The sequence below is a fragment of the Homo sapiens genome, chromosome 3 (genome assembly GCF_000001405.40).
Source record: "Homo sapiens chromosome 3, GRCh38.p14 Primary Assembly".
Classification (NCBI taxonomy): Eukaryota; Metazoa; Chordata; class Mammalia; order Primates; family Hominidae; genus Homo; species Homo sapiens.
Window position 1 is genome coordinate 179,039,871 of NC_000003.12, and position 23,515 is coordinate 179,063,385.

The 23,515-nt window shown below is 40.4% G+C and overlaps 1 protein-coding gene across 11 annotated transcripts in view, besides 2 other annotated features; it reads right to left on the reverse strand.

The window, feature by feature from the left end:
- The window catches only part of ZMAT3 (zinc finger matrin-type 3), a 55,291-nt gene that overhangs the window by 22,648 nt on the left and 9,128 nt on the right, over positions 1-23,515 (reverse strand). The gene's annotated exons all lie outside the window — the stretch shown is intronic.
- Positions 6,486-6,625: an enhancer, noted in NCBI's record as "active region_20857". NCBI's record gives its function as "activates an Ori minimal core promoter by ATAC-STARR-seq in GM12878 lymphoblastoid cells {active_cell/tissue: GM12878}" and the evidence as "EXISTENCE:reporter gene assay evidence [ECO:0000049][PMID:35858748]".
- Positions 6,646-6,725: an enhancer, noted in NCBI's record as "active region_20858". NCBI's record gives its function as "activates an Ori minimal core promoter by ATAC-STARR-seq in GM12878 lymphoblastoid cells {active_cell/tissue: GM12878}" and the evidence as "EXISTENCE:reporter gene assay evidence [ECO:0000049][PMID:35858748]".

Below are 23,515 nucleotides of genomic sequence, written 5' to 3' on the forward strand. Positions count from 1 at the left end.
AGAGAAGACCTTAAATGACTGATGGAGCTGAAAACCATGGCATGGGAACTTCGTGACACATGCACAAGCTTCAATAGCCAATTCGATCTAGTGGAAGAAAGGGTATCAGTGATTGAAGATCAAATTAATTAATGAAATAAAGCAAGAAGACATGGTTAGAAAAAAAGAGTAAAAAGAAATGAACAAAGCCTCCAAGAAATATGGGACTATGTGAAAAGACCAAATCTACGTTTGATTGGTGTACCTGAAAGTGATAGGGAGAATGGAACCAAGTTGGAAAACACTCTTCAGGATATTATCCAGGAGAACTTCCCCAACCTAGCAAGGCAGGCCAACATTCAAATTCAGGAAATACAGGGAATGCCACAAAGATACTCCTTGGGAAGAGCAACCCCAAGACATGTAATTGTCACATTCACCACGGTTGAAATGAAGGAAAAAATGTTAAGGGCAGCCAGAGAGAAAGGTCGAGTTACCCACAAAGGGAAACCCATCAGACTAACAGCGGATCTCTCGGCAGAAACCCTACAAGCCAGAAAAGAGTGGGGGCCGATATTCAACTTCCTTAAAGAAAAGAATTTTCAACCCAGAATTTCATATCCAGCCAAACTAAGCTTCATAAGTGAAGGAGAAATGAAATCCTTTACAGACAAGCAAATGCTGAGAGATTTTGTCACCACCAGGCCTGCCTTACAAGAGTTCCTGAAGGAAGCACTAAACATAGAAACAACCGGTAACAACCACTGCAAAAACTGCCAAATTATAAAGACCATCGATGCTATGAAAAAACTGCATCAATTAATGGGCAAAACAACCAGCAAACATCATGACAGGATCAAATTCACACATAACAATACTAACCTTAAATGTAAATGAGCTAAATGCCCCAATTAAAAGACACAGACTGGCAAATTGGATAAAGAGTCACAACCCATCAGTGTGCTGTATTCAGGAGACCCATCTCATGTGCAAAGACACACAGAGGCTCAAAATAAAGGGATGGAGGAAGATCTACCAAGCAAATGGAAAGCAAAAAAAAAAAAAAAGCAGGGGTAACAATCCTACTCTCCGATAAAACAGACTTTAAATCAACAAAGATCAAAAGAGACAAAGAAGGGCATTACATAATGGTAAAGGGATCAATTCAATGAGAAGAGCTAACTATCCTAAATATATATGCACCCAATACAGGAGCACCCAGATTCATAAAGCAAGTCCTCAGAGACCCACAAAGAGACTTAGACTCCCACACAATAATAATAGGAGACTTTAACATCCCACTGTCAATATTAGACAGATTAATGAGACACAAGGTTAACAAGCATATACAGGACTTGAACTCAGCTCTGCACCAAGCAGACCTAATAGGTATCTACAGAACTCTCCACCCCAAATCAACATAATATACATTCTTCTCAGCACCACATCACACTTATTCTAAAATTGACCACATAATTGGAAGTAAAGTATTCCTCAGCAAATGTAAAAGAACAGAAATCACAACAAACTGCATCTCAGACCACAGTGCAATCAAATTAGAACTCAGGATTAAGAAACTCACTCAAAACTGCACAACTACATGGAAACTGAACAACTTGCTCCTGAATGACTACTGGGTAAATAACGAAATGAAGGCAGAAATAAAGATGTTCTTTGAAACAAATGAGAACAAAAACTCAACGTACCAGAGTCTCTGGGACACATTTAAAGCAGTGTGGTAGAGGGAAATTTATAGCACTAAATGCCCACAAGAGAAAGCAGGAAAGATCTAAAATTGACACCCTAACATTACAATTAAAAGAACTAGAGAAGTAAGAGCAAACAAATTCAAAGGCTAGCAGAAGGCAAGAAATAACTAAGATCAGAGCAGAACTGAAAGAGACAGACACACAAAAATCCCTTCAAAAAATCACTGAATCCAGGAGCTGTTTTTTTTAAAAGATCAACAAAATTGAGAGACCACTAGCAAGACTAATAAAGAAGAAAAGAGAGAAGAATCAAATAGATGCAATAAAAAAATGATAAAGGGGATGTCACCACCGATCCCACAGAAATACAAACTACCATCAGTGAATACTATAAACACCTCTACGCAAACGAACTAGAAAATCTAGAAGAAATGGATAAACTCCTGGGCACATACACCCTCCCAAGACTAATCCAGGAAGAAGTTGAATCTCTGAATAGACCAGTAACAGGCTCTGAAATTGAGGCAATAATTAATAGCCTACCAATCAAAAAAAGTCCAGGGCCAGACAGATTCACAGCCGAATTCTACCAGAGGTACAAAGAGGAGCTGGTACCATTCCTTCTGAAACTATTCCAATCAATAAAAAGAGGGAACTCATTTTATGAGGCCAACATCATCCCGACACCAAAGCCTGGAAGAGATACAACAAAAACCAGAGAACTTTAGACCAATATCCCTGATAAACATGGATGCGAAAATCCTCAATAAAATACTGGCAAACCGAATCCAGCAGCGTATCAAAAAGCTTATCCACCATGATCAGGTCAGCTTCATCCCTGGGATGCAAGGCTGGTTCAACATACACAAATCAAAAAACATAATCCATCACATAAACAGAACCAATGACAAAAACCACATGATTATCTCAATAGAGGCAGAAAAGGCCTTTGACAAAACTCAACAGCCTTCATGCCAAAAACTCTCAATAAATTAGGTATTGATGGAACGTATCTCAAAATAATAAGAGCTATTTATGACAAACCCACAGCCAATATCACACTGAATGGGCAAAAACTGGAAGCATTCTCTTTGAAAACTGGCACAAGACAAGGATGCCCTCTCTCACCACTCCTATTCAACATAGTGTTGGAAGTTCTGGCCAGGGCAATCAGGCAAGAGAAAGAAATAAAGGGTATTCAATTAGGAGAAGAGGAAGTCAAATTGTCCCTGCTTGCAGATGACATGATTGTATATTTAGAAAACCCCATTGTCTCAGCCCAAAATCTCCTTAAGCTGATAAGCAACATCAGCAAAGTCTCAGATACAAAATCAATGTGCAAAAATCACAAGCACTCCTATACACCAATAACAGACAAACAGAGAGCCAAATCATCAGTGAACTCCCATTCACAATTGCTACGAAAACAATAAAATACCTAGGAATCCAACTTACAAGGGATGTGAAGGACCTCTTCAAAGAGAGCTACAAACCACTGCTTAAGGAAATAAAAGAGGACACAAACAAATGGAAGAACATTCCATGCTCATGAACAGGAAGAATCAATATCGTGAAAATAGCCATACTGCCCAAGGTAATTTATAGATTAAATGCCATCCCCATCAAGCTACCAATGACTTTCTTCACAGAATTGGAAAAAACTACTTTAAAGTTCATATGGAACCAAAAAAAGAGCCCGCATTGCCAAGACAATCCTAAGCCAAAAGAACAAAGCTGGAGGCATCATGCTACCTGACTTCAAACTATACTACAAGCCTACAGTAACCAAAACAGCATGGTACTGGTACCAAAACAGACATATAGACCAATGGAAAAGAACAGGCCTCAGAAATAACACCACACATCTACAACCATCTGATCTTTGACAAACCTGACAAAAACAAGAAATGGGGAAAGGATTCCCTATTTAATAAATGGTGCTGGGAAAACTGGCTAGCCATATGTAGAAAGCTGAAACTGGATCCCTTCCTTACTCCTTATACAAAAATTAATTCAAGATGGATTAAAGACTTAAATGTTAGACCTAAAACCATAAAAATCCTAGAAGAAAACCTAGGCAATACCATTCAGCACATAGGCATGGGCACAGACTTCACAACTAAAACACCAAAAGCAATGGCAACAAAAGCCAAAATAGACAAATGGGACCTAATTAAACTAAAGAGCTTCTGCACAGCAAAAGAAACTACCATCAGAGTGAACAGGCAACCTACAGAATGGGAGAAAATTTTTGCGATCTCCCCATCTGACAAAGGGCTAATATCCAGAATCTACAAAGAACTCAAATTTACAAGAAAAAAACAAAGAACCCCATCAAAAAGTGGGCAAAGGATATGAGGATATGAACAGACACTTCTCAAAAGATGACATCTATGCAGCCAACAGATACATGGAAAAATGCTCATCATCATTCGTCGTCAGAGAAATGAAAATCAAAACCACAATGAAGATTCACACCAGTTAGAATGGCAATCATTAAAAAGTCAGGAAACAACAAATGCTGGAGAGGATGTGGAGAAATAGGAACGCTTTACACTGTTGGTGGGAGTGTAAATTAGTTCAACCACTGTGGAAGACAGTGTGGCAATCCCTTAAGGATCTAGAACTAGAAATACCATTTGACCCAGCAATCCCATTACTAGGTATATACCCAAAGGATTATAAATCATACTACTATAAAGACACATGCACACGTATGTTTATTGCGGCACTATTCACAATAGCAAAGACTTGGAACCAACCCGAATGTCCATCAATGATAGACTGGATGAAGAAAATGTGGTGGCCGGGCACGGTGGCTCACGCCTGTAATCCCAGCACTTTGGGAGGTCAAGGCAGGAGGATCACAAGGTCAGGAGATTGAGAACATCCTGGCTAACATGATGAAACCCTGTCTCTACTAAAACTACAAAAAATTAGCCAGGCATGGTTGCAGGTGCTTGTAGTCCCAGCTACTTGGGAGGCTGAGGCAGGAGAATGGCATGAACCCAGGAGGCGGAGCTTGCAGTGAGCCAAGATTGCACCACCACACTCCCGCCTGGACGACAGAGCAAGACTCTGTCTCAAAAGAAAAAAAGAAAGAAAATGTGACACATATACACCATGGAATACTATGCAGCCATAAAAAAGGATGAGTTCATGTCCTTTGCAGGGACATGGATGGAGCTGGAAACCATCATTCTCAGCAAACTATCACAAGGACAGAAAACCAAATACCTTATGTTCTCACTCATACGTGGGAATTGAACAAGGATATCACTTGGACACAGGGCGGGGAACATCACACACTAGGGCCTGTCAGGGGGCGGGGGACTAGGGGAGGGATAGCATTAGGAGATATACCTAATGTAAATGACGAGTTGATGGGTGCAGCAAACCAACATGGTACATGTATACCTATGTATCAAACCTGCGCATTGTGCACATGTACCCCAGAACTTAAAGTATAATAAAAAATAATAATAATAATAAATAAAATTAAATAAAACCATGAAACTAGGTAAGTTACCTAGACGAGTCGGTGATAGAGAGCAAAGGACAAACCTCTAAGACACTACAATATCAAGTGTGGCAAAGAATCCAAAAATAAGATTGAGAATGCCCATGAAATAAGATAAAAACCAGACAAGTGCAGTGTCATAGAAGTCTGGAACAAAGTGGCTCAAAAGAAGAGTCTAGTTAAATACATTATGACCCAGGAACTATAGTTCTAGGTATTACGAAACAGAAACATACATAGGAGATAACCATAAGGATGCTCCTAGAAGTATTGTTTGTAACAGCAAAAAAGGTGGAAACAATGTAAGTGACCACCTACAGGACAACAGATAAATTGTAGATTATTCATACAGAGGAACACTACACAGTAGTGAAAGTAAACACTCTAGGGCCATGCATGGAAACATGAATCGGTCTCATAACAAAATACTGAATAAAAAGAGCAAATTGCAAAAGAAGATATGTAAGAATAATTTTTAATATAGGGTCTAAAAATATAAAAAACAACACTATATACTTATATAAGGGAACATATATGTAGCAAATATACAAAAACAATGTGTGGTAACAATAAATATCAATCCAGTATAGTGGCTACATCTAGGGGCATAGGATAGGGATACAATTGGGAAGAGATACATGGGGACTTCAGCTGAATTAATAATTTTTACTCCTTAAGCTAGATGGCAAATACAAATGTTTATTATATTTTTGGTACCTTATATCTGAAGGACTTCATAATCATTCAGCACAACAATAACCAAAAAAGGGAGTAGTTCATCAGGTCAAAAGCTGCTGTGAATAAAGTCAGGAGAGAGAAGTGATACTTGGATTTGCAAAGACAGAGGTCACAACTGGCCTAGGTAAGAATCACTTCAGCAGAACAGTGAGAGATAAAGGTCATGTGAAGTGGTTTAACTAGGAAAACACCCAGTACAGGCAACTATGCAGAAGAGCTCTATGACAGGGAGCAGAGAAATCCGGCATGCAGCTAGACAGAGAAATGGGATCATTTCCCTTTGAAATATGGATTTTAGAGGCTTGTCTGTATGACAACAGGAAGAAGTCACTAAAAGCAGAAGAACAGCTGATACAGGAGCTGAAGAGCATGACTACAGGAACACAGTCCATGAAAAGGCAGAAGAGGTACCCAGTACTAGTGGAGGGGTCAAGGTTAGATAGTATCAGGTATTTTATTTCCAAAGCAGCATCCCCAGTAGTATTCAAGCAGATATTGCATCCACAACATAATGATACTAATGGCAACTAAGAAAAGTATGCAAATTTGCAGGGAAAATAGCAGACAGGAGGCAGGACTAACTAGCAGCTCCCACTCAGATGGACAGAGCAGTGTGTGGAGACCCATATCATGAAATTTTGCTCCAAGAACTACAGCAGGAACATACCAGGAAAGCGGAGGGTATTCACAGGCCCTTTGAAGGAGGCGGATTGCCACTGCAGACTCCGTGGGACAGCTGAGGAACTGAGTCGGCCTGCTTTCTCAGCTGGGAGGCTTGTGGTCTGGGGCAAGTTCTCAGCCCTGACCACCAGCTGCCTGGAAATGAACTCAGTGCTACAGATGAGGCACAGTGGGAGGAAGACCAGCCTTTAGGGCTGGGGGATGCATGGGAGCTGGGTGAGGCCTGTAACAGCCAGCTTTCCCCCAATTCCCTGGTGACCTGTGTGACACAGCAGAGGCAGCCATAATCCCCCTGGGAACATAACTCCATTGGCCCGTTCACACCCCTATTCCCCATAGCAGCTGCAGCAAGCCCCACCCAAGGAGAGACTGACCTCAGACATGCCTAACCCTGCCCCAACCCGATGGTCTTCTCTACCCACACTGGTGGCCGAAGACAAAGGACATAAGCTCTTGGGAGCTCTGGGGCCCCACCCACCGCATGATCATCTCTATACTACCATAGCTGATGCACTCTTGAAAGCACCACCTCCTGGCTGGAGACCAACCAACACAAAACCAGCACACTTAACAAAAATACAACCAAGGACCCTCACTGAGTCCACTTCACTCCCCGGCTACCTCCACCAGAGCAGGTGCTGGTATCCACAGCTGACAGACATGAAGATGAATCATATCACAGGACTCCCTGCAGACACTGCCCAGTACCAACCCAGAGCCCAGTAGCTCCACTAGGTGGCTAGATCCAGAAGAAAAATAACAATTATTGCAGTTCAGCTCTCAGTAAGCCCCATCCTAGAGGAAAGGTGAGAGCACCACATCAGGGGAGCACCCTGTGGGACAAAAGAATCTGAAGAGCAGCCTCTGAGTCCCAGATCTTCCCTCTGACATAGTCTACCCAAATGAGGAAGAACCACAAAAATAATTCTTGTGACATGACAAAACAAGGTTCTTTAACACCCCCAAAAGATCACCTTAGCTCACCAGCAGTGGATCCAAACCAAGGTGAAATATCTGAATTGCCAGAAAAAGAATTCAGAAGGTCAACTACTAATCCAATCAAGGAGGCACCAGGCCGAGCGTGGTGGCTCACGCCTGTAATCCCAGCACTTTGGGAGGCTGAGGCAGGCAGATCACCTGAGGTCAGGAGTTCAAGACCAGCCTGACCAACATGGTGAAACCCAATCTCTACTAAAAATACAAAAAAAAAAAATAGCCGGATGTGGTGGTGCTCGCCTATAGTCTCAGCTACTCAGGAGGCTGAAGCAGGAGAATCACTTCAGTCCGGGAGGCAAAGGTTGCAGTGAGCTGAGATCATGTGACTGCACTCCAGCCTGGGTGACAGAGTAAGACTCAGTCTCAAAAAAAAAAGGAGGCACCAGAGAAAGGTGAAGTCCAACTTAAATAAATCAAAAAATAATACAGGTATGAATGGAAAATGTTCAGTGAAATAGATAGCATAAATAAAAAACAATCACAACTTCTGGAAATGAAGGACACGCTCAGAGAAATGCAAAATGCACTGAAAAGTCTCAGCAATAGAGTCGGACAAGTAGAAGAACTTCAGAGCTCAAATATAAGGCTTTTGAATTAACCCAAATTGATAAAGACAAAGAAAAAAGAATTTTTAAAAAATGAACAAAGCCTCGAAGAAGTTTGAGATTACGATAAACGACCAAACCTAAGAATAATTGCTGTTCCTGAGGAAGAAGAGAAATCTAAAAGTTTGCAAAACATATTTGAGGGAATAATTGAGGAAAACTTCCTCAGCCTTGCTAGAGATCTAGACATCCGAATACAAGAAGCTCAAAGAACACCTAGGAAATTCATTGCAAAAAGATCATCGCCTAGGCATACAGTCATCAGGTTACCTAAAGTCAAGATGAAAGAAAGAATCTTAAGAGCTGTGAGGCAAAAGCATCAGGTAACCTATAAAGGAAAACCTATCAGATTAACAGCAGATGTCTCAGCCGAAACCCTACAAGCTAGAAGGGACTGGGGTCCTATCTTTAGCCTTCTTAAACAAAACAATTATCAGCCAAGAACTTTGTATCCAGTGAAACTAAGCTGCATAAATGAAGGAAAGATACTGTCTTTGTCAGACAAAAAACTTCTGAGAGAATTTGCCACTACCAAGCCAGCATTACAAGAACTACTAAAAGGAGTTCTAAATCTTGAAACAAATCCTCCAAATACACAAAAATAGGAAATCCTTAAAGCATAAATCTCACAGGACCTATAAAATAACACAATGGAAAAAAACCCAAGGTATTCAGGCAAAAAAAAAAAAAAAACAGCACAATGAACAAAATAGTACTTCACATGTCAATATTAACATTGAATGCAAATTGCCTAAATTCTCCACTTAAAATATTCCAAATGGCAAAACGGATAAGAATTCACCAACCAAGTATCTGCTATCTTCAAGAGACTCGTGATACATAAGGACTCACATAAACTTAAGGTAACAGGGTGAAAAAAGATATTCTATGCAAATGGACAACAAAAGTGAGCAGGAGTAGCTATTCTTATTTGAGACAAAATAAACTTCAAAGCAACAGCAGTTAAAAAAGACAAAGAGGGACATAATACAATAATAAAAGGACTAGTCCAAAAGGAAAACATCACAATCCTAAATATATATGCACCTAATACTGGAGCTTCCAAACTTATAAAACAATTACTACTAGACCTAACAAATGAGATAGACAGCAATACAATAATTGTGGGGGACTTCAATACTCCACTGACAGCACTAGACAGGTCTTTAAGACAGAAAGTCAACAAAGAAACAATAAACTATACGTTACAATAAATGCACTTCACAGATATTTACAGAGGATCCTACCCAACAACTGCAGAATATACATTCTATTCATCAGCACATGGAACATTCTTCAAGGTAGACCATATGATAGCCACAAAACAAGTCTCAACAAATTTAAGAAAATCGAACTTATAGCAAGTACTTTCTCAGACCACAGTGGAATAAAATTGGAAATCAACTCCAAAAGAAACCCTCAAAACCATGCGAATACATGGAAATTAAATAACCTGCTCCTGAATGATTGTTGGGTCAACAATAAAATCAAGATGGAAATTAAAAAATTATTTGAACTGAACGATAATAGTGATACAACCTATGAAAACCTCTGTGATACAGCAAAGGCAGTGCTAATAGCATTAACTGCCTACATCAAAAAGTTTGAAAGGGGCTGGGCATGGTTGCTCATGCCTGTAATCCCAGCACTTTGGGAGGCCAAGGCAGGCGGATCACGAGGTCAAGAGATCAAGACCATCCTGGCTAACATGGTGAAACCACGTCTCTACTAAAAATACAAAAAATTAGCTGGGCGTGGTGGTGGGCGCCTGTAGTCTCAGCTACTCGGGAGGCTGAGGCAGGAGAATGGCATGAACCTGGGAGGCAGAGCTGGCAGTAAGACAAGATCGCGCCACTGCACTCTAGTCTGGGTGACAGAGCAAGACTCCGTCTCAAAAAAAAAAAAAAAAAAAAAAAAAAGCCAAGCCTAAAAGAACACAAATAGACAATGTAAGGTCACACCTCACAGAACTGGAGAAACAAAACAATCCAAACCCAAACCCAGCAGAAGAAAAGAAATAGTCAAGATCAGAACAGAACTAAATGAAATTGAAACAAAAAAAATACAAAAGATTAAGTGAAACAAAAGGTTGGTTTTTTGACAAGATAAATAAAACTAATAAACAATTATTGAGGTTAGCCAAGAAAATAAGAGAGAAAATCCAAATAAGCTCAATTAGAAATGAAATGGGAGATATTACAACAAATACCACAGAAATACAAAAAATCATTCAAGGCTATTATGAACACCTTTATGTGCATAAACTAGAAAACCTAAAGGAGATGGGTAGAAATATACAACCCTCCTAGATTAAACCAAGAATACATAGAAACTGAACAGACCAATAACAAGCAGCAAGATTGCAATGGTAATTAAAAAGTTACCAACAAAAAAAAAAGTCCAAGACCAGAAAGATGCACAGCTGAATTCTATCAGACATTCAAAGAAGAACTGGTACCAATCCTACTGACACTACTCCAAAAGACAAAGAAATAGGGAATCCTCCCGAAATCATTCTATGAAGTCCATATCACCCTAACACCAAAACCAGGAAAGGATATTCCAAATAAAAGAAAACTACAGACCAATATCCCTGATGAACACAGATGCAAAAATCCTCAACAAAATACTAGCTAAGCAAATCCAACAGCATATCAAAAAGATAATCCACCATGATCAAGTGGGTTTCACACCAGGGATTTAGGGATGGTTTTACATCTAGGGATGGTTTAACATCCTCAAGTCAATAAATGTGATACACTACATAAAAGAATTAAAAACAAAAATCATATGATCACCTCAATAGACACAGAAAAAGCATTTGACAAAATCTAGCATCCCTTTATGGTTAAAACCCTCAGCAAAATCAGCATAGAAGAAACACACCTTAAGGTAATAAAAGCCATCTATGACAAACCCACAGCCAACATTATACTGAATGCGGAAAAGTTGAAAGCATTCCCCCTGAGAACTGGAGCAAGACAAGGATGCCCACTTTCACCACTTCTATTCACCCTAGTACTGGAAGTCCTAGCCAGAGCAATCAGACAAGAGAAAGAAATAAAGGGCATCCAAATCAATAAAGAGGAAGTCAAACTGTCACTGTTTGCTAATGAAAATGATTGTGTATCTAGAAAACCCTAAAGACTTATCCAAAAAGCTTCTGGTACTGGTAAATGAATTCAGCAAAGTTTTAGGATACAAAATTAATATATACAAATCAGTAGCTCTGCTATACACCACTATACACCAACAGCTACCAAGCAGAGAATCAAATCAAGAACTCAGCCCCTTTTACAATACCTACAAAAAAAATAAAATAAAATACATAGGAATATACTTAACCAAAGAGCTGAAAGACCTCTACAAAGAAAAGTACAAAACACTGCTGAAAGAAATAACAGATGACACAAACAAATGGAAACACAAACCATGCTCATGATGGGTAGAATCAGTGTTGTGAAAATGACCACACTGCAAAAAGCAATCCACAAATTCAATGCAATTCCCATCAAAATACCATCATCAAATTCAATGCAATTCTCATCAAAATACCATCATCATTCTTCACAGAACTAGAAAAAAATTTATATGGAACCAAAAAAGAGCCTGCATAGCCAAAGCAAGACTAAGCAAAAAGAACAAATCTAGAGGTCTTACATTACCTGACTTCAAACTATAGCATACGGCTACAGTCACCAAAACAGCATGGTACTGGTATAAAAACAGGCATTTAGACCAATAAAACAGAATAGAGAACCCAGAAATAAAGCCAAATACTTACGGTCAACTGATCTTCAACAAAACAAACAAAAACATAAAGTGGGGAAAGGACACTCTATTGAACAAATGGTGCTGAGATAATTGGCAAGTCGCACGTAGAATAACGAAACTGGATCCTCATCTCTCACCTTATACAAAAATCAACTAGAGATGGATCAAAGACTTAAATCTAAAACCTGAAACCATAAAAATTCTAGAACATTGGAAAAACTCTTCTAGACATTGACTTAAGCAAAGACTTCAACAAGATAAAGATAAATAGATGAGATTTAATTAAACTAAAAAGCTTCTGCACAGCAAAAGAAATAATCAGCAGAGTAAACAGACAACCCATAGAGTAGGAGAAAATTTTTGCAATCTACACATCCAACAAAGAACTAATATCCAGTCTACAAGGAATTCAAACAAATCAGCAACAAAAAACAAACAATACCATCAAAAAGTGGCCTAAGGCCATGAATAGACAATTCTCAAAAGAAGATATACAAATGGGCAATAAACATATGAAAAAAATGCTCAACATCACTAATTATCAGAGAAATGTAAATCGAAACTACAACATGATACCACCTTACTCCTGCAAGAATGGCCATAATCAAAAACTCAAAAAATAATAGATGTTGGCATGGATGTGGTCAAAAGGGAACACTTTTACACTATTGTTAGGAATGTAAAATAGTACAACCACCATGGAAAACAGTGTGGAGATTCCTTCCTTAAAGAACTAAAAGTAGATCTACCATTTGATCCAGCAATCCCTCTCCAGGGTATCTACCCACAGGAAAAGAAGTCATTACACGAAAAAGATACTTGTGCACACATTTATACCAGCACAATTTGCAACTGAAAAAATATGCCCATCAATCAACGTGTGGATAAAGAAAATGTGGCACATATTAATATATACTATGGAATACTACTCAGCCATAAAAAGGAACGAAATAATGGCATTTGCAGCAACTTAGGCCAGGCGCGGTGGCTCACACCTGTCATCCCAGCACTTTGAAAGGCAGAGGCAGGCGGATCACATGAGGTCAGGAGTTCAAGATCAGCCTGGCCAACATGGTGAAACCCCGTCTCTACTAAAAATACAAAAATTAGCCAGGCACAGTGGCGGGCATCTGTAATCCCAGCTACTCAGGAGGCTAAGGCAGGAGAATCGCTTGAGCCCAGGAGGCGGAGGTTGCAGTGAGCGGAGATTGTGCCACTGCATTCCAGCCTCGGTGACAGAGCAAGACTCTGTCTCAAAAAAATAAAATAAAATAAATCAAAATAAATAAAATTAGAATATAGGTATAGATATAGAATATCTATAGATATAAAATATATCTAGATATAAAATTCTATAGATATAAAATATATCTACAAAATATCTATATTCTATATAGAGATAATTTATATCTATAGATATAGATATAGAATATCTATAAAATTAGAATCCATAAATCCCCAGTAATATAAATAACTGAATAAATAAATGCAAAAATGGGAAAGCTCTTTCTTAAAGTAAAATTCCAAGTAACAAGCTTAGAAGAAATGATTAAAACAGAAAAATCACCATTTGGCAAATGCCACAGTAATAATTATTGCAGACAAGAATCATCACTGACCAAAACTATGATGAGAAATAAAATATTCGCAGTCTTAAAGCACCTCCCCATATAACATTTGTTGAACACAAAAAGAAAAAGAGTAACTTTGCAAAGGAGAACCATGGCAGGCAGTAGCTTAAACAAGTGATCAGAGTTAACAGCACCAGTAATACAAGACATTCACATCACATCCTTCTTGACATGACACACTAGGAAGAACACAGTATCATTTCTGTGGTATTCTTGCTAAAAAACACATAACCTGAATTTAATCAAACATCAAACAAGCCCAAATTTGGGACATTCTACAAAACAACCCTTCAAAAATGGCAAGATGATAAAAAGCAAAGAAAAACCAAGGACCTATCCAAATTAAAGGAGACATGAAAACTACCTGCAAAATTTCATCCTGGATTAAATAACTAGAACCAGGGAAAGGCCATTAGTACACAATTAATGAAATGTAAACAGTATATAGATTAAACAATATCATTTGAATCTGTGTTAAATTCCTGATTTTGACAACTATACTGTAGTTATGTAAAATGTTAATGTTTGGGGAGTCTGAATAAGGTGCATACAGGAATTATTTGTACTACTTTTGGAACTGTTTTGTAAGTCTAAAATAATTCAAACTAAAATGTTGATAAAATAAAAATAAAACTCGGCCAATGCCACAATTGTCCAATGCAGAGCTGGGACAATCTGGTTCCACTGCACCTTGGGACCACTCAACACTGTCAAGGACTATCTCAGGTACCAGGAACTATTCTAAATGCCCCACACATACTAACATGCAGATATTATTAGTATCATCCTCCTCATCATCATCTCCTTCTTCATGAGGCAGAGAAGGGTTAGGAAATGTTTTCGATATCATACATCTAGCGAGTAGTAAGACCACAACATCAAATACTAGTCTGACCTCAAAGTCCGCGATTTCAGGTTCTTAATATCCTATAAAACAGATGCTATGAATTGAGAATAAAAAATCTGGAAGTCTTATTTATTTAAATCTGTGTTAATTTCCTGATTTTGACAATTGTACTGTAATTATGTAAAATGTTAATGTTTGAAATGTAACATTAAAATTTAAAAATTAAAAAATTCAATATGAGGCTACCCTCTTTGGGTCCCCTCCCTTTGTATGGGAGCTCTGTTCTCACTCTATTTCACTCTATTAAATCTTGCAACTGCATTCTTCTGGTCCGTGTTTGCTAAGGCTGGAGCAGAGCTTTCGCTCACCATCCAACACTGCTGCTTGCCGCCATCGCAGACCCGCCGGCGACTTCCATGCCTCCGGATCCAGCAGGGTGTCCACTGTGCTCCTGATCCAGCGAGGCGCCCATTGCTGCTCCCAATTGGGCTAAAGGCTTGCCATTGTTCCCACACGGCTAAGTGCCCGGGTTCATCCTAATTGAGCTGAACACTAGTCACTGGGTTCCATGGTTCTCTTCCATGACCCACGGCTTCTAATAGAGCTATAATACTCACCACATGGCCCAAGATTCCATTCCTTGGAATCCGTGAGGCCAAGAACCCCAGGTCAGAGAACACGAGGCTTGCCACCATCTTGGAAGTGGCCCGCCGCCATCTTGGGAGCTCTGGGAGCAAGGACCCCCCAGTAACATTTTGGCAACCACAAAGGGACCTCCAAAGCGATGGGAAACATTCCCCCCAAGGCAAAAACGCCCCTAAGATGTATTCTGGAGAATTGGGACCAATGTGACACTCAGACGCTAAGAAAGAAACGATTTATATTCTTCTGCAGTACCGCCTGGCCACAATATCCTCTTCAAGGGAGAGAAACCTGGCTTCCTGAGGGAAGTATAAATTATAACATCATCTTACAGCTAGACCTCTTCTGTAGAAAGGAGGGCAAATGGAGTGAAGTGCCATATGTGCAAACTTTCTTTTCATTAAGAGACAACTCACAATTATGTAAAAAGTGTGGTTTATGCCCTACAGGAAGCCCTCAGAGTCCACCTCCCTACCCCAGCGTCCCCTCCCCGACTCCTTCCTCAACTAATAAGGACCCCCCTTTAACCCAAACGGTCCAAAAGGAGATAGACAAAGGGGTAAACAATGAACCAAAGAGTGCCAATATTCCCCGATTATGCCCCCTCCAAGCAGTGAGAGGAGGAGAATTCGGCCCAGCCAGAGTGCCTGTACCTTTTTCTCTCTCAGACTTAAAGCAAATTAAAATAGACCTAGGTAAATTCTCAGATAACCCTGACGGCTATATTGATGTTTTACAAGGGTTAGGACAATCCTTTGATCTGACATGGAGAGATATAATGTTACTACTAAATCAGACACTAACCCCAAATGAGAGAAGTGCCGCTGTAACTGCAGCCCGAGAGTTTGGCGATCTTTGGTATCTCAGTCAGGTCAACAATAGGATGACAACAGAGGAAAGAACAACTCCCACAGGCCAGCAGGCAGTTCCCAGTGTAGACCCTCATTGGGACACAGAATCAGAACATGGAGATTGGTGCCACAAACATTTGCTAACTTGCGTGCTAGAAGGACTGAGGAAAACTAGGAAGAAGCCTATGAATTACTCAATGATGTCCACTATAACACAGGGAAAGGAAGAAAATCCTACTGCTTTTCTGGACAGACTAAGGGAGGCATTGAGGAAGCATACCTCCCTGTCACCTGACTCTATTGAAGGCCAACTAATCTTAAAGGATAAGTTTATCACTCAGTCAGCTGCAGACATTAGAAAAAACTTCAAAAGTCTGCCTTAGGCCCGGAGCAGAACTTAGAAACCCTATTTAACTTGGCATCCTCAGTTTTTTATAATAGAGATCAGGAGGAGCAGGCGAAACGGGACAAACGGGATAAAAAAAAAAGGGGGGGTCCACTACTTTAGTCATGGCCCTCAGGCAAGCAGACTTTGGAGGCTCTGCAAAAGGGAAAAGCTGGGCAAATCAAATGCCTAATAGGGCTGGCTTCCAGTGCGGTCTACAAGGACACTTTAAAAAAGATTATCCAAGTAGAAATAAGCCGCCCCCTTGTCCATGCCCCTTACGTCAAGGGAATCACTGGAAGGCCCACTGCCCCAGGGGATGAAGATACTCTGAGTCAGAAGCCATTAACCAGATGATCCAGCAGCAGGACTGAGGGTGCCCGGGGCGAGCGCCAGCCCATGCCATCACCCTCACAGAGCCCCGGGTATGCTTGACCATTGAGAGCCAGGAGGTTAACTGTCTCCTGGACACTGGCGCAGCCTTCTCAGTCTTACTCTCCTGTCCCAGACAACTGTCCTCCAGATCTGTCACTATCCAAGGGGTCCTAGGACAGCCAGTCACTAGATACTTCTCCCAGCCACTAAGTTGTGATGGGGAACTTTACTCTTTTCACATGCTTTTCTAATTATGCCTGAAAGCCCCACTCCTTTGTTAGGGAGAGACATTCTAGCAAAAGCAGGGGCCATTATACACCTGAACATAGGAGAAGGAACACCCATTTGTTGTCCCCAGCTTGAGGAAGGAATTAATCCTGAAGTCTGGGCAACAAAAGGACAATATGGATGAGCAAAGAATGCCTGTCCAGTTCAAGTTAAACTAAAGGATTCCGCGTCCTTTCCCTACCAAAAGCAGTACCCCCTTAGACCCGAGGCCCAACAAGGACTCCAAAAGATTGTTAAGGACCTAAAAGCCCAAGGCCTAGTAAAACCATGCAATAGCCCCTGCAATACTCCAATTTTAGGAGTACAGAAACCCAACAGACAGTGGAAGTTAGTGCAAGATCTCAGGATTATCAATGAGGCTGCTGTCCCTCTATACCCAGCTGTACCTAACCCTTATACTCTGCTTTCCCAAATACCAGAGGAAGCAGAGTGGTTTACAGTCCTGGACCTTAAGGATGCCTTTTTTGCATCCCTGTACATCCTGACTGTCAATTCTTGTTTGCTTTTGAAGATCCTTGGAACCCAGTGTCTCAACTCACCTGGACTGTTTTACCCTAAGGGTTGAGGGATAGCCCCCATCTATCTGGCCAGGCATTAGCCCAAGACTTGAGCCAATTCTCATAATACCTGGACACTCCTGTCCTTCGGTACGTGGATGATTTACTTTTAGCTGCCCATTCAGAAACCTTGTGCCATCAAGCCACCCAAGCACTCTTAAATTTCCTCACTACCTGTGGCTACAAGGTTTCCAAACCAAAGGCTCAGCTCTGCTCACAGCAGGTTAAATACTTACGGCTAAAATTATCCAAAGGCACCAGGGCCCTCAGTGAGGAACGTATCCAGCCTATACTGGCTTATCCTCATCCCAAAACCCTAAAGCAACTAATAGGGTTCCTTAACGGGTTTCTGCCGAATATGGATTCCCAGGTACGGTGAAATACCCAGAACATTCTATACACTAATTAAGGAAACTCAGAAAGCCAATACCCATTTAGTAAGATGGACACCTGAAGCGGAAGTAGCTTTCTAGGACCTAACGAAGGCCCTAACCCAAGTCCCAGTGTTAAGCTTGCCAACAGGACAAGATTTTTCTTTATATGTCACAGAAAAAACAGGAATAGCTCTAGGAGTCCTTACACAGGTCCGAGGGATGAGCTTGCAACCCGTGGTATACCTGAGTAAGGAAATTGATGTAGTGGTAAAGGGTTAGCCTCATTGTTTACAGGTAGTGGTGGCAGTAGCAGTCTTAGTATCTGAAGCAGTTAAAATAACACAGGGAAGAGATCTTACTGTGTGGACATGACGTGAACGGCATACTCACTGCTAAAGAAGACTTGCTGTCAGACAACCGTTTACTTAAATATCAGGCTCTATTACTTGAAGGGCCAGTGCTGCGACTGTGCACTTGTGCAACTCAACCCAGCCACATTTCTTCCAGACAATGAAGAAAAGATAGAACATAACTGTCAACAAGTAATTGCTCAAACCTATGCCACTCGAGGGGACCTTTTAGAGGTTCCCTTGACTGATCCCAACATCAACTTGTATACTGATGGAAGTTCCTTTGTAGAAAAAGGACTTCGGGACGGGCGCGGTGGCTCACGCCTGTAATCCCAGCACTTTGGGAGGCCGAGGCGGGCGGATCACGAGGTCAGGAGATCGAGACCATCCTAGCTAAAACGGTGAAACCCCGTCTCTACTAAAAATACAAAAAATTAGCCGGGGGTAGTGGCGGGCGCCTGTAGTCCCAGCTACTTGGGAGGCTGAGGCAGGAGAATGGCATGAACCCGGGAGGCGGAGCTTGCAGTGAGCCGAGATCCCGCCACTGCACTCCAGCCTGGGCGACAGAGCGAGACTCCGTCTCAAAAAAAAAAAAAAAAAAGAAAAAAGAAAAAGGACTTCGAAGAGTAGGGTATGCAGTGGTCAGTGATAATGGAATACTTGAAAGTAATTCCCTCACTCCAGGAACTAGTGCTCAGCTGGCAGAACTAATAGCCCTCACTTGGGCACTAGAATTAGGAGAAGGAAAAAGGGTAAATATATATACAGACTCTTAAGTATACCTACCTAGTCCTCCATGCCTATGTAGCAATATGCAGAGAAAGGGAATTCCTAACTTCCAAGGGAACACCTATCAAACATCAGGAAGCCATTAGGAGATTGTTATTGGCTGTACAGAAACCTAAAGAGATGGCAGTCTTACACTGCTGGGGTCGTCAGAAAGGAAAGGAAAGGGAAATAGAAGGGAAATGCCAAGTGGATATTGAAGCCAAAAGAGCTTCAATGCAGGACCCTCCATTAGAAATGCTTATAGAAGGACCCCTAGTATGGGGTAATCCCCTCCAGGAAACCAAGCCCCAGTACTCAGAAGAAGAAATAGAATGGGGAACCTCACAGGGACATCATTTCCTCCCCTCAGGATGGCTAGCCACCGAAGAAGGAAAAATACTTTTGCCTGCAGCTAACCAATGGAAATTACTTAAAACGCTTCACCAAACCTTTCACTTAGGCATTGACAGCACCCATCAGATGGCCAAAGCATTATTTACTGGACCAGGCCTTTTCAAAACTATCAAGCAGATAGTCAGGGCCTGTGAAGTGTGCCAAAGAAATAAACCCCTGCACTGCAGGCCATACATTTCAATCCCTGTATCTTTAACCTCCTTGTTAAGTTTGTCTCTTCCAGAATCAAGGCTGTAAAACTACAAATCGTTCTTCAAATGGAGCCCCAGATGCAGTCCATGACTAAAATCTACCATGGACCCCTGGACCAGCCTGCTAGCCCATTCTCCGATGTTAATGACATCGAAGACACCCCTCCAGAGGAAATCTCAACTGCACAACCCCTACTATGCCCTGATTCAGCAGGAAGTAGTTAGAGTGGTTGTCGGCCAACCTCCCCAACAGCACTTGAGTTTTCCTGTTGAGAGGGGGGACTGAGAGACAGGACTAGCTGGATTTCCTAGGTCGACTAAGAATCCCTAAGCCTAGCTGGGAAGGTGACCGTGTCCACCTTTAAACACAGGGCTTGCAACTTAGCTCACACCCGACCAGTAAGAGAGCTCACTAAAATGCTAATTAGGCAAAACAGGAGGTGAAGAAATAGCCAATCATCTATTGCCTGAGAGCACAGTGGGAGGGACAATGATCGGGATATAAACCCAGGCATTCGAGCCAGCAACAGCTACCCTCTTTGGGTCCCCTCCCTTTGTATGGGAGCTCTTGTTTTCACTCTATTTCACTCTATTAAATCTTGCAACTGCAAAAAAAAAATTCAATATGAGATTAGAAGTCAAGAACATGTCTCAAATTAAAACAAAAAAAGAATGATAAAAGATAGCAGAGACAAACAATATAAAGTATCTATCCATCAATTATACTTCAATAAAGCTAGAAAAATAAAAAAGAATCAATCAAGCAGAACCATGACAATAGCTAACAGGATTCCTAGAAGGAAAGACAAAAAAATCTGGAGAATAGTGACTAAGAAAGAATATTTTTTTTTTTTGGGAGACCAAGGCAGGTGGACCATCTGAGGTCAGGAGTTCGACACCAGCCTGGGCAACGTGGTGAAACCCTGCCTCTACTAAAAATACAAAAAAATTAGCTGGGCGTGGTGGCAGGCACCTGTAATCCCAGCTACTCAGGTGGCTGAGACAGGAGAATCGCTTAAACACAGGAGGCAGAAGTTGCAGTGAGTTGAGACTACACCACTGCCCTCTAACCTGGGTGACAGAGTGAGACTCTGTCTCAAAAATATATATATTTTTTAAATTCTCCAGAGCAAGAGAAACAGAAGTACACAAACTGAAAGGATCTACTAGTGCTGACCAGGACAAATGAAAAAGTATCCTGGGGAAAACTAGACACAACCATCATTGTCAGATCTCAGACTACAAGGATAAAAGGGAGAGCCTAAAAGCTTCCAGGGGAAAAAAAAGAAAGACACAAAATTAAAACAGGTCACCAAAAAAAGAATAAGAATCAGAAGATTTCTCTTCAGCAACATTAGATAAAAACAGAAAATAGAGGGCAGCTGTTAACATTCCAAAGAAAAATAATTTTCAACCTGGAACTGAACTGTCAAACATGAAGGCACAATGCAAACATTTTTTAGAAACGCAAGGGCTCAAAAAAATTATTTCCCATTACTCCCCCATTTTATTTCAAGAAAAAAAAAAAGTGTTGTACATTTATATTCATTCTTTCTTCCTTAATGTGACAATATACTCCAACAAAACAAGATTTAAAAAAGAAAACATATATTTAGAAAATAGTGATCCCACCTAAAGAGTGGTAAGTCCAAAGCTGACAAAGCTGTGCAGCAAACCCAACAGACTCCAGCTGAAAATGGAGCAAGGAGATAGAGGGATCTAGGATAAAAGGAAAATTCCATACAATAAATAGTGGGGTTGAGATTTAGGGATGGAGGGGAGAACGATAATATGAAAAATATAATGCAAGAAAAAGAGGGGAGAAGAAAAGCAACTAAAATCTCCGGGAAATACAAAACCTACACAATGAAGTAGTGATTCAAATATGGAACAACTAATCCAAATTAGAACAACTAGTCAAAATCAGAATCAGAAAACAGTGGGTTTCATGAAGATAAATGAAATGGGTTGTAAGCAATATAAAGAAAGATTGAGATGCTAATACCTTTTTTGAAAGGCTTAAGATTCTTCTCTCTAGTTTTTTTTTTAAGTACCAGAAACTCAAGGAAAAACAAAAAGTTATTTCAAAGTTATAATCCACATATGAAGCAAACTAAAATAGACACAATTTTGAGCAACTGGTGGCATTCAGGAAAGGGTTACCTATTTGAACATCTCTTGTGAGTAGCATGGGATCATGACACTGGAAATACAGGGAAGGAAACAGCTCTGCAGTGAACAATATTTCCCCACTCATAATAGTGCAAAATTCCCTATTCACAATAATGCAAAAACTCAATGTTAATTTTCAACAATTGGCATCAACCTGCAAATAGAGCATGGAAAACTTAATTTGATGACAGAATGGATAAAAATGTGATCAATCTTGACAGTGTCAAAGTAAAACTATAGCCAGCTCAAGTTGGGAGTCAGAAAGGAGAAGAGAATGGAGAGGAAAAAAAAGGTAGGGAATGGGTGGAGAACAGGTGATTACTACTTTTCATTATAAATCCTTTGGTTCCTCAGGCATTATTTTAAATAAAAATATTTTTAAATTTTTTTAGGAGAAAGTTGTTACCATTGGCTAATGCTACAAAGGGGTCAAGTGAGAAGGAGTTAGATTTGGCCTGTAAGATCATGGTGACAATGGAAAGGACCATTTCAGCGGCCTATAGGAATGGAAATCAGAGTACAGTGGGCTGAGGAATGAATGGGAAATAAAGACCTGAAGAGAACAATTCTACCTGCAGAATGCTAAGGACAGGAGAGGAGAGGAGAAAGGTTGCTAATAGAAGGGATTAAAAGTAAACAGAAGGTTGCTGCTGCTATTTTTATTTATATAGAAAAGACTTGGGCATAGTTTTTGATTGAGGTGAAAAGGTGATGAAATCCAGAAAACAGGATGAGGAATCAAACTTGGACAAAAGAAAGGGTATCTATCATTTCGAAATAAGAAGAAATGAGGTAGGGGTAGACTAGAGGAGGAGGCAAAAAACTGGCAGGATCACAGAGAGCTTCTGTCCTCTAAAGTGATCAAAGCAAGAGCTAGAAAAGCCTACAGAGCTGGCGATTTCAGAGAGCAGAACAAGAAAACCAACAAGGATTGATTATTGGGTAAATGGACTAAGCTGACAGACGAGTAGTATGGTTGAAAGCATATTTACATTTGAAAATCATTTTATTTTGCCTCATTTGTTGGTTGAATTATTCTTCATGAGAATCTTTTAAGGTAACCTGGTATCTGGATCTAAAAGACTATCTCGGGAGAACAATCAAGGAAAACAAAGTTTTGCTTATTTACACAAGGTCCTACAGCAAGTTACTATCAAGGTAGTAACAACAGTAAGACAGCTGTGTGCCATCTCATTCTGCTCATTTGAGACCCAAACACTTCTAAACAATAGCAACCTATTTCAATCAACCAGCATTTATTAAGATAACATATGCAAGTCTCACAATCCTGCAGAGGAAGTACAATGACCCCTACTTTACAGATATTGAATAAAGAGAGATTCAGTGTCTTGCCTAAAGTAACTGAGCCAAGATCCTAGCCCAAAGTTGTTAGATTCCAAAGCATATATGCCACGTGTAAAGCACATGCATTAAAACCAAATCTGAAGTGTGTTTTGGCCATTCTCAGTCCACTGCAAGTCCATTTGGAAAAAAATCAGATAGGAGAATTTTGAATACATGAAAATTAGCTGAGATTTAATTCAGTGATCCAAACCTGGGTGATCAATATTAAAATGTAAGTGCCAAAATCAGTGCTTTAAATTTTGGGAAAAATCTAATAGCATTCTCTTCATTATGAATTATGAATTAAGACCACTACACTCAGCA